We start from the raw sequence: 16,130 nt of genomic DNA, 5'->3' as shown, positions 1-16,130 counted from the left end.
TTAGTTAGCGAAAGTGCCAGGCTTACAGTATCTCTAAAATTAATGCTCATAGCGGCCATATAAATAAGTATTATTATTCTTTTCAGTTTAAATGATGAAACTCTGGGGATCAGCGTAAAGTAAACCAACATACTGCATGTAAGTATCAAGTAAATGAGCAGAGACAGCCCCTGGTTTACAAACACCTGACTTAAGCATCGTCCATCCTACAGGTAAATTCCTCATTCTTACTGCTGTGAGAACAATTGTTAGGAGCCAAAAACTTCAGAGCTTTCAAAGAACTGTAATGAGATAGCACAATGCAGGCAAAAAGCCAGTGTTAACGGAGCAAGAAACTTCCCAGTTCTGACATTCACAGCATGACCTAGAGCATGCGGATTCCCCTCTCTGAGTCACTGGTTTCTCACCTGCAAAAGAAAGCGGGGTGCGTGTATTTATGGGAGTAGGGTGGGTTTTGGCTAAGCACAGGAGTCATCTGGGTGGCTTCATACACAGATAAAGGGCTCATCCCACCAGGTCGGGCTTTTGAACCCGAAATGTTTGGCGTGACGGTGGGGGCACCTATTCTGAGAAACTACCTCTCCAGGGGTTGCAGTCACACAGCCCTTGCCAATCAGTGTCTGGGAACCAGGGACCTGATCATCTCTAAGGTGCCTCCAAGATCCAGCACTTAATTCCATTTTAGGACAGGGAAGGAGGAAGAAGCTTCGAGAGGCTGGAACAGTTGAGGGAGCGCTGACACGGTAAAGGCCACTTTGCTCATCATCACCAGGCGTGCTGCCGAAAATTTCCACTCTGTTTACTCCCAAGACCTTACTCCTACTATGTGGAGACACATTTGAATAAAAAATTGGCCTCTTTTCAAAGTCAAAATTCTGAGCCAGCTTGAAGGGATTGTTTTTGGTCAAACCTGCATCAATTTGGGCATCAAAATAAATAATGCTACCAATTTATTGCACCCTATTGAATAGAATAGCAAGTCATGAGTCTATGTTCATATAAATAAGTAAAACTGAGGAGAAGGGAAAGCTCTCTTTTATAGTAGAAATCCATCTAATAGGTGTAGAAGAAAATGATAAAGTTAGAAAATCACCATTTGGCCACCATTGTAGTAATCATGGATTCAGCTAAAAATCATCAATGGATGCTGGAACAAATGAGTGAAAGTTTAATGAGGGTCAGAATATTTATATGGCCTCACAGTGTATCCTTATACAATTCTTAATAATTACTGACAAAATTCTTACTAACTTTATGAGAAACCTGGCAGAAACCATCTTCACCTGGTAACAGAAGCTAACAGCACTGCTTGGGTCAAGTGGGCACTGTGTGCCACCTGATAGGATGGACCGAGGACACGGCACTGCTTCCGTGGCATTCCTGCCAAACACATGTGAAGTGCCCAGTCTCAGGACCAAGACAGGAGACGTAACAAATGAATGCAGTGTGTGGTTGTGTATTGCATCCCAAACCAGAAAGGAAAGGGGGTAAAGGAAAGATGGCATTGTTGTTGTTATTTCTTTCTTTCTTTATTTTCTTTTGAGAGAGACGGAGTCTTGCTCTGTCACCCAGGCTGGAGTGCAGTGGTGCGAACTTGGCTCACTGCCACCTCCACCTCCCAGGTTCAAGTGATTCTCCTGCCTCAGCTTCCCAAGTAGCTGGGACTACAGGCATGCACCACCACGCCCGGCTAATTTTTGTATTTCTAGTAGAGACAGGGGTTTTACCATGTTGGCTAGGCTGGTCTCAAACTCCTGACCTCAGGTGATCCACCTGCCTCGGCCTCCCAAAGTGCTGGGATTACAGGTGTGAACCACCGAGCCCAGTCTTCTTGTTGTTGTATTTCTATAAAAAATATTGGGATAATCAGCAAAAGTTGAGTGGAGGCTGTAGATTAGAGAAGTGTGTTGTGTAAACATTAAGGTACTGATTTTGGCCAAGCGTATTGAGGCTATGCAAGAGAGTGCTCTTGTTCTTAGTAGCTTGTCTCAGTCCATTTTCAGTTGCTATCACTGAATGCCAGAGACTGGGTAATTCACAAAGAAAAGAAATGTATTTCTCATAGTCCTGGAGGTTGGGAATTCCAAGGTGTAGGGGCCACATGTGGTGAGGGCCTTCTTGCTGGTGGTGACTGTCTGCAGAGTCCGGAAGTGTGCAGGGCATCACATGGCATGGAGGCAAGTGCATGCAAGTGTCAGCACAAGTGTGTCTTCCTCTCTTTATAAAGCTACCAGTCCCATCACGGGGGCCCTGCCCTGATGACTTTATCTAATCCTAATTACCTAGACTCCACGTCCAATCAACATAGGAATTTTAATTGGATTTCCTAACCTCTTAATACCATCACAATGACAACTAAATTTCAACACATGAATTGGGGGGCGGGAGGCACATTCAAACCATAGCAGAGATGCACACAGAAGTATTTGGGGATATGCTTGCAACTTAGTTCTGAGTGGTTCCGAAAAATAAATATGCGTGTATACATATGAGTGTGTATGTGTGAAGAGACAGAATAACACTGATATGTTTTAAAACAGAGTATCTAGAAAATCTCTTTTGTAACTTTTCCATAAGTGTGAAATTATTCTTTTTTTAAGGTTAGAAAAAAAATTTAAAATCAAATACCCTTAGGTGGGGTTTTGGGTCATCGATCATTTATATCTTACTGCGAATTAGTCTGATCAGATTCCTTCCATTTTAATGAGATCTTGAAACACTTTCGGGGTTAGAATAGTCAGGCAAAATAGCGGTGCTACCATGGAAAACCTAAAAATCATAAAAATACCCAGAAGTGAAGGACAAGGACCCAAGGAAGAAGGTAGAAGAGAAATTCAGAAAATGAGGCAAGAGTGAGTGAGTAGTAGTCCTCAAATTTGCCTGGAGCTGAGAAGACATCAGCCTGACTTCCCTTTCTCGGTCATGCTCTTTTCAAACTGGGCTGCAAATGAGAATCAGCCGGGGTGCCTAAACCCACCCTGCACGGTGAAATCAGAAACCTGGTGGGGAGACTGAGTGTCGGTGTGTTTTGGAAACACCCAGGTGACTCCAACGTGCAGCCACAATGGCGCGCCTCTGAGCTGTCCCATGGAGTCAAAGGGCACTTGCTGAACCAACTAGGACGGCTTCCCACTGGGCCTCGCTACTGCCAAATGCCTGTGGTTAGTTTATTAAGATAATGTAATACATTAAATGCCTGTCCCCCTCTGACTCAGTCTTCACAGGATCACCAGGCTGTTCTTTCTAAAGCATGGGTCTAATCATGCCAGTCTCCTATTCAGAAACCTTTCCTGGATTTCTCATGTCCTGGTCCTGACATATGAGGCTTCCCACACTGTTCTCCTCTTTAAACTTCCACAGTTTTATTTTCAGTGTTCTCAGTGCCACTATATTGTCCTCAGCTCCCCAGCCCCGACATACGCTTTCTCCTGCCTCTGTACCAACATCCACCTTGCCCTATCACCTGGCCAGTTGCTCCTTCTTGCTTCTAATCTTAGACCCTCGAAATCCTCTCATTTTTTCATGTCAAATGCCACTTCCTTCATGAAGTTCCCCTGGATTATTCCAGTTGGATTTAACGTCCTTTCCAGCGCTTTTTGTACCTCTACGATAGTACACAATTATAATCTGCTTCATTTTATTGCTATTTGTTTATAAGGCTGCTTCATCCAGTAAATCATAAAATTACCCAAGGGTGAGGATGGAGCCTAGAATGATGGAAAGGGCTAGAGCTTTGGAAGGTGGTTGTGGTGGGTTTAAAAATGTCTTCACAAATTCTTTGATATGCCTTCCTTCAAGACGTAGAGCTTAATTCTCTCCTATGCCCATTTGAGTGTGCACTGGACTTAGTGACTCACTTTTGTTTGTTCGTTTGTTTTTGAGACAGAATCTTTCTCTTTTGCCCAGACTGGAGTGCAGTGGTGTGATCTCGGCTCACTGCAACCTCCGCCTCCTGGGTTTAAGCGATTCTCCTGCCTCAGCCTCCCGAGTAGCTGGGATTACAGGCACCCACCACCATGCCCGGCTAATTTTTGCACTTTTAGTAGAGACGGGGTTTCCCCATGTTGGCCAGGCTGGTCTCAAACTCCTGACCTCAGGTGATCCACCTGCCTCGGCCTTCCAAAGTGCTAGGATTATAGGCATGAGCTACCAAGTGCCCGGCCTTAGTGATTCATTTCTAACAAATAGAATAAGGCAGAAGTGACAGTGTGACTTTTAGACTAGCTCATAAAAAGGATGGCAACTTCCTCCTTGCCTTCTCTTCCTTGATGAGTGGATGTAGGCGATTCCAGCTGCCACGTCATGAGGACACCCAGGCTGCCCATGAAGAGGCCCTGTGGTCTCTGGCCAACAGGCAGAAGTGAGCCGTCCTGCCGTGAAGCTTTCAGCCTCAGTCAAGCCTTTACTCCTGTAAGGCTGGGACTCTGTGAATGAGGCACCAGGCCATTTTTTGGGGGAAGACCTTATAAGTATTGGCCCCATTAAGTTCCATTAAATGAGATTATTCACAAATGTGACATTGCAGGAAAGGCCTTGCTTGTATATTTGATTTTCCTAATTATATTCTGATTTTTTTAAAAGACAGATTTTTACTGAACATATACAAACAAGCATATTGATGTGAAAAGTGAGGACACTTAAGAATTTCTGATTTCAGAGGAATCGGGGAGAATCAGATATCATTTTAAAATGTTACATTTCAGTATAAAAGAGCAGAGTCAGGTCAGGTGCTGTGGCTCACGCTTGTAATCCCAGCACTTTGGGAGGCCGAGGCGGGTGGATTGCTTGAGGTCAGGAGTTCGAGACCAGCCTGACCAACAGAGTGAAACCCCGTCTCTACTAAAAATACAAAAATTAGCCGAGCATGGTGGCAGGTGCCTGTAGTCCCAGCTGCTCGGGAGGCTGAGGCAGAATTGCTTGAACCCGGGAGGCAGAGGTTGCAGTGAGCCAAGAGCCCACCACTGCACCCCAGATGGGCAACAAAGTGAGACTACGTCTCAAAAAACAAAGCAAAACAAAAACAAAAAGAAAGAGCAGAGTCTACTAAATCATTACGGATTACAGAGAGTTTAAGAAGAAAAAGAAAGTGCTTGTTTGCTTTTAAATATGGAAAAGAGAACATTTAAACATCAATAGTATTCTCTACCAATAAATGCAATAAGATTTTCCTCATCAGTTTATTCAGTCCGATATAAGTATTTCTGTTCCACCGGATCTTGAGTTAGCAATCTCATGAGCCCGTATGCTCTTGAAATGAAAATAGTTCTGTAAATCCTGACCCAGCCCACTGGTATGGTCTGAGAGTGTCTCAGAATGCATCAGAAGCCTGAACCCAAGCTCTGTTCTTTGAGGTGTCAATAGTTTGAAGTATACGGTACAGTCCTTTTCTGTGGGGCTTTGAGGTGGTTCTTTGTCGGAGACACAAACCCAGACCTGTAGCTGATAGCAGAATCTTCAGGCAAGCATCAGAGTAAATAGTAAAAACAACAAACAGAAACAAAAACAACAACAACAAAAAACAAATGTATCTTAAATGATAGAGAAAATGGAAAATGTCTGTGGTTAATTTATTAAAATAATTTTCCAACGTAAAGGTCTAATGAGAGTTAATAATAAGAATAATGTAACCCACAGAGACATTTGAGTGCTTCTGTGGCACACCTAACAAGATGATAAAGCCATTCTGAGATAAACTTTCAGACAATATGTCTCTAAGAAGAATGATTAGGCCTATTTTCAGAGGAGTCAGTGAATGTTACATCTGATTTGTAAAATAGGAGAACATAATTTTAGAGAGGAAAAGCCTTGAGATATAATAACCGAGACATAATATAATAATATACTAAGATTACAGCAAACATATACTAAGAAAATATCAAGAATAAAAAGAGATTCAGTAAATCTGGCATCGGTCCTAGACATCTGTATTTTTATATAACTCCGTAAGTAAGTTTGAGGTGCATCCCCAATTGAAAATCAGGCCGGGTGCAGTGGCTCACGCTTGTAATCCCAGCACTTTGGGAGGCTGAGGTGGGCAGATCACTTGAGGTCAGGAGTTTGAGACCAGCCTGGCCAACATGGTGAAACCCTGTCTCTATTAAAAATACAAAAATTAGCCGGCCGTGGTGGCACCAGGCTGTAATCCCAGCTACTAGGGAGGCTGAGTTAGGAGAATCGCTTGAACCTGGGAGGCGGAGCTTGCAGTGAGCCAAGATCACCCCACTGCACTCCAGCCTGGGCGACAGAGTGAGACTGTCTCAAAAAAAAAGAAAAAAAGAAAATCAGTGGCATAGAATATATTAAAGTCAAATTAAAGAATTAAGTCTGTGATGAAGTTCATATTTTAAATAATAATGGAAATTATGACTAATAACATACAGTTGTTGTCTAGTATCATCAGGCAAAGCAACACAAAGATTCTGGTGAATATGGAAAAAATCCACAGAGTTTAGGTCAACGTTCCCTCAGAAGTTAAAACATAGAATGCGAGGTCACTGACAAATCTCCAGGGACTTTCCAAAATCATATAATTTCTGAAATCATTACATTAATAAAATATTTTAAATACCCAAATTTAACTGAATGTCTCTTCTGATTTGACAACTTTTCCCATGAAACTTTATAATAGTAACATATCAAAAACGCTAATTATCTCTAGTACCTCTCTTCTTATAAAGTGAAAAAACAAATCTTTGCAATTTTCCAGGGACCCTCTGGGAATCTCAAAATGGATTTTGATGTAAAAGATATCTTGAAATATTCTTTTTTTACTTATATGTTTCTATATTTGGATTTGATTTTGAGAAGGCAAAAATCAAAAAGTTGTCAGAGGAGATTTGGACATTTGATTAACATATGATTGTGGGTGCCTGAAAATGATATTTAGTTATCTATTTAATCAAAATAGCATTTTTTTAAATGTAGATAGTAACATGATTGTAAAGAATATGTAAGTTCTTTTATAACTTGATACTTTTTTCTTGAATAATCAAGGATGTAACAAAGCTAACATAAAGAAGCTTTGCTATTAGGCAGATTACACAGAAAGTGAGGAATAACATTTCATTTTGTTGGCAAAGGAATTAATGAGTAAATCAAGGAAGCACTTCCACTAAAGTAGACCAGACTTCACTACAACGTCAACACATTTCATAGCTTCTTTTAAGAATCAGGTATTACAAACCAAGGCAAGTAAAATTCACCTGCCAAGTGTCCTTCACTATGCTCCTTCCTATTCTGGGACAATCTGACACTTTAGGAGAGATTCCAGGGTTCCATGAGGTCAAAACTAACTTCATAATAATTATATGAAGGTGTTATATCTGTTAACATGCAGTGTGTTCCACCCTATCTTCAAATGAGTTGAAGTATTTTAAAGTTTCCTCAGTTTTAATTTCTAATTCAGTAAGTATTGGTAGTTATCACCCTCAATGAGCTTTGGGCTTCTGTTTAAAATAATTTTAACAGTGTAAAGGGGTCCTGAGACCAAAAGTTTGAAAGCTACTGCTCTAAATCAACTGCCTTTTCATGGTTCTGTGTTCTCAATAGGTAAATCCAGAAACCAAGGGAGACGATTAGGAGTTGCCCCACTTCCCATCAGTACTACTGACACACTTGTGAAATTTGTGTTTCCCATTTCTATAACTCCCAACTTTATGGGTTTAGAGGTTCTGGTTTTCAGACCAAAAAAAAATGCTTCCACCAGGAAACCCAGGAGGGCTCCCATTAAATGTTAGCTATGGCTGTCAGTGGTCACGTTTGACTCCTTGTGCCAACAGTAAGCAAGGAGAGGAGCCAGCCTCCCGGCTCTATTATAAGGAGGAGATAGAGCTGCCGTTACCCAATGGGAGCAATTTTGGTAATGAATGGAAGTGCAGCAGTCGTGGCTATGAAGCTCAGGCCCCTCAGAGATCAAAGTCTGGTCACTACATCAGGCCAGCCACATGGACCAACAAAGTTACCACCCGTGGACAAGGGGATCTGGAATGGTACTTGAGGAGGAGCTGATGAATGTCATTTGCAACCTCTATATGAGCTGCATGTGGTGAGGCTGTAGTTCCTCCATTTCCTTTTTCTTGTAAGTTTCTCCAAGAGAAATGACCAACCGAGATCCTGGAGGAAATGTTCTCAGAACTTAATCTACAAAGCAAATGGATCCAAGTGGCACAAAGTAGAGGCTGCCATGGAGCCCCTCCAGTGCCCTCTTTAGGGATGAGGCACTAAATCTCCGAATTGTTGATGGCCTCTCTAAGACATGGGGACTCTGGCTGAATCCTTCTTCAAGAATTACCCTCAACCCAAGATAGCAGTTCTTGATCCACCCCAGGATCATGACCTCTTCCTGGAAGCAACCTGGTAAGGAGGGTTATGAATGCCCAGCCCCGCTGCCTCAAGGCAGGACAAATGTAAAAGCCCATTCCGGCTTCGGTGATCCCCTATGACAGAATGAGAACTTTGTTGTGGCTAGAACACAGTTCAAATTCTCCCTCGGCCCAGTGCTATGTCTTTACTTCCTTGCAGGAATTGAACCTGAGAACACCACCCAGTAAACTTCCCCACACAAGTTTTTTATCTCGAATTGTTTTTCCTGAGGACTTGATTTAAAGTAAGTCTTATTCCCTATCCTGTTCCATTTAAGTTCTACACATGTTTCAAAATTATACATTTGACTTAAAATTTACATAGATCAATATGTCCTAAAATTAGGATCTGGGGAAGCATAAGGAAAAATTTAAAAATTGTCTGTGTTAAGGTAAATTTGGGAAATGCTTGGTTAATTAAAAGCAAATTTCTTTACAATGGAACTTCTCAGGTCTTTAAATATACTAATTGGAGAGTAAATCTCCAAGAAGAGTCCCCTATAGTAAACAAATTCTTTCCAAAGTTTTCTGACAATGGATTGAAAATTTTTCTTTCATTCACTTATTTTTGTTGTGTACCTATTAACATCTCCTAGAAGCATTTCCTAGAGGGCACAGTTTGGGAAATACTAGTCCACATTTATAGAACTTAATTATCAAATTGTTTGGCATCTTTAAAAATTAAAATGGTTTTGGAGGATGCCCTTTATACATGTAAGTCACTTATAAAAGCTGTTCAAGGAAATTAGAGCTGATGCCTACATTCACTCTCAACAAATTAATCAGTAACAGACAGAGATATTGAAAAATCAATCCACTAAATTCTCTGAACTGCCTCAAAATTGGAGTCATTATTTTGAAAAGCTAGCCCCACCAGGACTTTAACTGTAAGAGAATATAAAGATGTCCCCTGAGAATAATTATACTGAGCCAGTTGAGGGGCTTCATTCATTAATTCATGAAGACTCCATGTATCCTTGGCCCCCAGGTGCCCTTTAGTAAAAGAAACTCCAACAGGCTTCTTCCTACATCAGTTGCTGTGGCTCTTGCCAAGTGAATTGAGTGGCACCATCCTGATGACCTCACCCCAAATGATGAGCCCATGAATTGACTAAATATAAGAAAGGCTAAACACCATGCCCTAGCAGGTTGGCATGAATCTCTTCCCAGTTGAGGCACTTCATTTGGATGGTGGCCACCTCATTCACTCAAATTCTCTATTTTAGGAAGTATAAATGCCAGAGCAGATCTCTCAAGCTGAGGTTGTAACCCAAACAACCTTGAGCGTTCGTTTTAGGGTTTTGTTCTGGTTTCCTATTAAATTTGTTGTACTTCTTTGTCTTAGCAGCACTTGGATCCAGATTAAGCAGGCAGTTAGGGAAATGGCTTTTCTTGTTACCCCACCAGTCCTGTGCATCTTTGTATAAATTCCTTATACCAAAGGATAAGGATATGCTTTGCAAGCATAAAAGAGTGATTTCTATTAACAGTGAAGTTGCAAGAGGCTCTCAGGGGAAGTAAGAACTAGATTAACATCCTTGCTCACCACTGGGTAGAGCAAGGCGAGAATATCTACATCTTAGTGTGAAAAGATAGTAGGTTTACAGCAGAGGAGCAGTTCATTAAGCTCTATATTTTGGTCTCAGGATCCAGGTGAGTTGCCCACCAAGGATGAGGCTTTGAGGCAGTGACAGAGGCCATTTCACAGGTTTTGGAGAAGTGTCCAGGTAAGGGTAAGTAGGCTGCTTCTCATGGCTCAATGTGAAGTCTGTTGGGCAAGGAATTGACTCTGGTCCGAGATCACACTGCTCCAGCTGGATAAGGAAACTTTGACTCCTTTCAGGATGCACTATTTCCTGGTGATTTTTCTTCTTGCAGAGAGTTGCAGAACAAGATCAGAAACTGATTAACTTCAGAACTTCAGTGGAAGCTGAGTTCCTTGATGCAACAAATGTCTACAGCCAATGTTACAGCCCTAATTGTCATAAACAAAGATTGTAAAAACTAGAGTGATATCTGGGAAGGCTTAGATGAGCCCATGATTAGAAGATCCACAACATAGCTGGAGTTACTTCGGATAACTCTGCACCATCACTCTCATTTCCATTGGATGCAAGTATAGATTCATCCAAGGTACTACTTACTATGGAGTAAGTATAGATTCATCCAGGGTACTACGTAAACGGCAGGCCAGGGAAGAGAAAAACTTATTCGGAATTCACTGCAGGACTATTGACAGAGATAGATTACCGGATTTGTTGGTGGGGGATGGTGGTGGGGGCATGGAGAGAGGATATGTAGAGCTGGTCGTTAAGATCACGTGATTGAGTAGAGTGACAGCATGGTAGGATGGAGCTGCTTTTAAAGCTGTAATGCCAATGGCTAAGGTGGGCTTTAATGTGTGCTTGTCTGGCTGATGACAACAAGGACCCAGCTCTGTCCCATACTGCACAGGATGAAGGAGCCAGGCTGCTGTTGGCTTAACGTAGGGTAACTTCTCAAATTGGAGTTCCTGGTCATTAAAGGCAATAGTTTAGATAACTCTTAAAAATTCTGGAGGACTCCCAAAAAGTTTTTGTTTATGTGGGTGGTATCTAGAAAAAATTAAAATATTTATTAATTCATTTAGTAAATGATAATAGTCCTTGGGGAAAGGGCCCTCAGCAGATATCAAATAATAATATTATGTATTTAATAAATTAATTTGATATCTTCTGCAGCTATCAAATAATAATAATATTATGGCGAGGATTTATCTGAAGTAACTCCAGCTATGTTGGGGATCTTCTAATCATAGGCTCATCCAGCCCTTCCCAGATATCACTCTAGTTTGCACAATCTTTGTTTATGCCAATTAGGGCCATGACATTGACTGTAGACATTTGGTGTGTCTAGGAATTCAGCTTCCACTTAAGCTGTATCTATTGATATTCTCATATTAGCAATTAAAACTAAGGGAAACTAAAATATTTATTAATTAAATTAATTAACATTTAGTAATTTATTTAATTTATTAATTGATTTATTAAATACATAATATTATTTGATATCTGTTGAGGTTATCAAATAATGGATGAATTTAGTCATAATAAAAGCCCATTATATTTTATAATAAATAACATATTTTACCAAAAAAACCCTGAATTTTTACTAAATCAAAAACTTCATAAGAATGACAGTGTTTTATATTTTTACAAATCTCATTAATGTGTGGCTTGAATCAAAGACACCTGGATTCTTATATCTGCCTCTGCATTCAATCTGTGAAATATGTTGGTTAGTTGAAATATACAAGGAAAATCTGGCCTCACGTAGATATGTAGTAGGTTAAAAATAAGAGTATTTTAAAAGCCTTTTCAGGTAATTGTGGATATTTCTTAACACTTCTTCAAAATTTGACAAATGATAGTTTCTTTAAAGTTAATTACAACAGAGTCTGAAACCATGCCAATAAACTTCTCATACTCTGTTACATTAAAATCCATTTGTCTCTCCTGAACTTTGAATAGATCTTTTACTATGCATGGTTTTGTAACAATATGCATTGGTCAACAGGAAAATATTGGTTTACTGCGTTACATAAATCTTCCAAATAGTGACACATTTCATTACAGTATATAAAAAAGATAAATTCATTAATATCCCTAACATCTTATCAGAAAAGTTTTTAAATATTTAGAAACTATTAAACTTATGGATATAGGTTTTCTAATTTTTACTTGAAAACCTGCATTTTATCATTTGCTAAAAATATTGCGAGTTGTTTTCCCTAAACTATTGGGCTCACTAACGCATCTCTGGGAAAACTGTGCGCCAAACCCCTAAGTCTGAGCAACCATCGTGTGTGCTAATCGTTCTTAAGAGTAAATATGGTATTCAATGGAAAAAAGCAGCTGGTTTAGCTCTGTAACTCAATCTCATAAGTGATTGTCCTCAAGACAATATCTTACTTTAGTATGCAGCAGAAGTGCTTTGCATGTAATTCCCATTTTGTCGCTTAGAATATTATAAAGTTGTGTATTTTTTTTCTGCTTCATCATGGACATTAAATAAAATTGGCTTTTTTTTTTTTTTTTTTTTTTTTTTTTTTAAGATTGAGTCTTGACCTGTCGCCCAGGCTGGAGTGCAGTGGGGCGATCTCGGCTCACTGCAACCTCCGCCTTCCAGGTTCAAGCGATTCTCTTGCCTCAGCCTCCCTAGTAGCTGGGATTACAGGCAGGTGCCACTAAGCCCGGCTAATTTTTGTATTTTTAATAGAGGCGGGGTTTCACCATGTTGGTCAGGCTGCTCTCCAACTCCTGACCTCGTGATCCTTCCGCCTCAGCCTCCCAAAGTGCTGAGATGGCTTTTTTTTTTCTTTGCAGAAAATGCATGATGACGAAGAACATAATGCCTTCTGTAACAGTTTGGTGCTGTGTTCAGATTCCAGCAGTTTCACCCATTGCTATGGTCTGAACATTGGTGTCCCCCCAAAATTCATATGTTGAAACCTAATATTCCATGTGATAGTATTAAGAGTTGGGTACTTCAGGAAATCAGTAAGCCATAAGAACTGCCCACTTCATGAATAGAATTCATATTCACCACCCTTATAAAAGAGGTTGAAGAGAGCTGCTTTGCCCCTTCTGCCATGGGAGGGCACAGCTCAAAGTTTCCGTCCTTGGGGAATGGGCTCTCAGCAGACATGGACTCTGCCAGAGCCTTCATCTTGTACTTCAGATTAACTGCAAAGCAACTGTGAGCCATACATTTTTGTTGTTTATAAATTACTTGATCTAAGGTATTTTGTTATAGCAACCTGAAAAAACTAAAACACCCACTATTGCTTTTGCACCTTCAGTGCAAATGTCAACAGGATGAAAAAGGCAAATAACATCTTGGTTTTATTGCAAACCACGTAGACCCCAGTAGCAGGACTCAGGAACCCCAAGGGATCCACAGACCACACTTTGAGAACCACTTATCTAAGGATACTTTGAGGTTTCCTGAGAATTTATAAATTTTGTGTAATCATCTTTATGATAAACTAAAATACGTGTGTACAAACACACTGCAGGTCACCTCCCAGTTTGAACAGTGCCACATGCCTAAAGGCCCACGTGACATGGTGTCTGGCTCTGTGGGTATCACATTTGGAAGCAGTGCAAATAGGAAAGTGCATGGAAGTACAAGGAGACTGAACTGATAAAAAACTGGGCTGTGGCCAAGACCACATTCATGGAAGAGGAGGAGCTTATTTCATGGCTCCCAACTTATTAGCAGTAGGGATATTTAAAAATATTCAATTAAAAATTTTTCCATTTCTAAGTCCAGATATCTAATGGAATTAAATGCCCATTTTATATGCCCATTTTAGATATTTAGATAATTTAGATAATTAGATGCCCAATTTAGATAATGTTGTAACATAGTCCTTACCTGCAGATAGCCACACAGCTGATGGAGTTAGAAAGAAGTACCTCATTAAAACTGGTAGTCGAGATCAGAACTATGAATTCTGATTATCCCAAACTGAGAAACAAAGTCTTTTAACAATATAATTTTAGGCTAGATGCGGTGGTTCACGCCTGTAATCCCAGCATTTTGGGGAGGCCAAAGTGGGAGGATGGCTTGAGCCCAGGAGTTCCAGAACAGGGCTATAGTGAGAGCCCATCTCTACAAAAAAATTTTAAAAATTAGCTGAGTGTGGTGGCATGTGCCTGTAGTCCCAGCTACTCCAAAGGCTGAGGCAGGAGGATCACTTGAGCTCAGGAGTTCAAGGCTGCAGTGGACCATGATTTTGTATGTATATATATATATATGATTTTATATACAGCATTCTCTGTGTTAAGTGTTACTAAATTTAAAATGCGGAAATACAACCAGTAAAAAACCAACATTAAGAACTTTCTACTGTTTCAACACTGGCAATTTGCTTTCCACAAGACATTGCCACATTAAATTAATGTTGCTGCTTTTATTTTGATCAGTGTTGTAGTTTGTTTGTATTTAATCTAGAAAGTTTATTTGAACTTTATAACTGAACAAAAACCACAGCCATATACTTTTTACTTGTACTGTGATATTATAATAAAAATAATTTAAGTCTACACTGGTAATCTGTGAGAATTATTGGCCCTCTAGAATGAGTGCACATAGGACGCTGATGATGTAGAGAAAGAGAAGGTTGCTAATGGCAAGAATGAGAACGGCATGGTGGTTGGTAGGCATTTTGCGGGCCAGAATGCTCCCTGACAGTGTCCCAAGGGTTTTTCTGTTTCACTGATAGCAAATATTAGACAGATGGGAAGGGCCCCTGCAGATTCAAAGGTACAGCTCACAGTCAGCAATGCTCTTGGGAGGAGTTGGAGACAGGCAAGCAAAGGCAGCCACTGTTACCAGGAGAAGCCAAGTGGGGTGGTATTCCAGGGGCTTGAGAGCAGCGACCAATGTGTGGTGTTGTCCCTCTTATAGGTGGATGACTCAGATCCAGCAGGCCGATCCTTCACCAAGAGCCAGGGCAAGAATTCAAGCAGAACCTGCATATCATATGACTATATTTAACAGTTCTAAATCACAAAGAGTTGAACAACATGCTTTCTATTCTCCTTCCTTGACAAATATATCTTCATAATGATTAGATAGAAAAATACGAGTAAAGTTCAAAGTTTCTAATTGACTGAAAGCTGGCAAAACGTCAACGATGACTGAACATAATTATTATCGCATATACTGGGAATTCTGTTGATGGGCCTGTGGTGTTTGGATGAATAATCAATGAAGATATTAATAATTCATAAATTATATGCTTTTTAAATAACATTTACTTTTTCCTTTATCCTGGCAAAATCAGTAACTATGTCATTGTACTCAAGATTTTCATGTAATTTGTGTTCTAGGGAAAGTAATGATCTAAAGCTGCATTTGTAATATGATATACCATGTAACATATGATATGATATATAAATATGATATGATATAGGATACAATATAATAGCCATAAAATAAATGTGGCTGTTTTAATTTAAATTATAGAAAATTTAAAATTCAGTTCCCCAGTTGTACCAGTCACCTTTCAGACACTCAGTAGTCACAAGTGGCTAGTGGTTACCATATTGGATAGTGTGGATATAGAGCATTTTCATCATTGCTTAAAGTTCTACAGTCATGCACCAAATAATGATGCTTCAGCCAATGGCAGACCACATATACAATGGTGGTCCCATCGGATTCTAATAGAGCTGAAAAATTCCTATTACCTAGTGATAGTGTAGCCATGGTAACATCATAGTGTAATGCATTACTTACATGTATGTGGTTATGCTGGGGTAAACAAATTGACTGCTCTGCCAGTTGTATAATAAAAGTATAGCACATCCAGTTATGTATAGTACATAATACTTGATAATAAATGACTATGGTACTGGTTTATGTATCTACTATACTTTTTGCTGTTATTTTAGTGTACTCTTTCTACTTATGAAAAAAAAGCTAGCTGGAAAACATCCTCAGACAGGTCCTCCAGGAAGGATTCGAGAAGAAGGCATTGTTATCAGAGGAAATGAAGCTCCACGCTTGTTATTGCCCCTGAAGACCTTCCAGTGGGACAGGAGGGGAGGCGGAAGACAGTGATCCTGATGATTCTGACCCCGTGTAGGCCTAGGCTAATGTGTGTATTTGTGTCTTCGTTTTTAACAAAAAAGTTTAAGAAGTAAAAATTAAAAATTTCAAAAATAGAGAAAAGCTTATAAAGTAAGGATATAAAGAAATAAAATATTTTTGTTCCGCTCT

The 16,130-nt window shown here is 39.9% G+C and overlaps 2 long non-coding RNA genes across 4 annotated transcripts in view; one reads left to right on the top strand and one right to left on the bottom strand.

The window, feature by feature from the left end:
- LINC02052 (long intergenic non-protein coding RNA 2052) overlaps positions 1 to 879 on the top strand; it is a 38,681-nt gene extending 37,802 nt beyond the window's left edge. Inside the window, exons 7-8 of the long non-coding RNA NR_033844.1 lie at positions 87 to 424; positions 686 to 879. This is a non-coding gene — a long non-coding RNA (long intergenic non-protein coding RNA 2052). The remainder of the gene's footprint in view (positions 1 to 86; positions 425 to 685) is intronic.
- A 9,738-nt stretch (positions 880 to 10,617) lies between these two features.
- On the bottom strand, positions 10,618 to 15,515 carry LINC02020 (long intergenic non-protein coding RNA 2020). Of its 3 annotated transcripts, NR_151710.1 has the most exons (4): positions 15,412 to 15,515; positions 14,739 to 14,878; positions 13,779 to 14,015; positions 10,618 to 10,954 (listed from the first exon to the last, which is right to left on the bottom strand). It is a non-coding gene; the product is annotated as a long intergenic non-protein coding RNA 2020 (long non-coding RNA). The 3 variants fall into 3 exon arrangements; NR_151709.1 differs by lacking the exon at positions 13,779 to 14,015 and having other exon boundaries at positions 14,681 to 14,878; NR_151708.1 differs by lacking the exon at positions 13,779 to 14,015 and having other exon boundaries at positions 14,681 to 14,878; positions 15,451 to 15,515.
- Positions 15,516 to 16,130: the final 615 nt, after the last annotated feature.

The sequence above is a fragment of the Homo sapiens genome, chromosome 3 (genome assembly GCF_000001405.40).
Source record: "Homo sapiens chromosome 3, GRCh38.p14 Primary Assembly".
NCBI lineage: Eukaryota > Metazoa > Chordata > Mammalia > Primates > Hominidae > Homo > Homo sapiens.
This window is presented reverse-complemented; position numbering and strand designations above follow the sequence as displayed.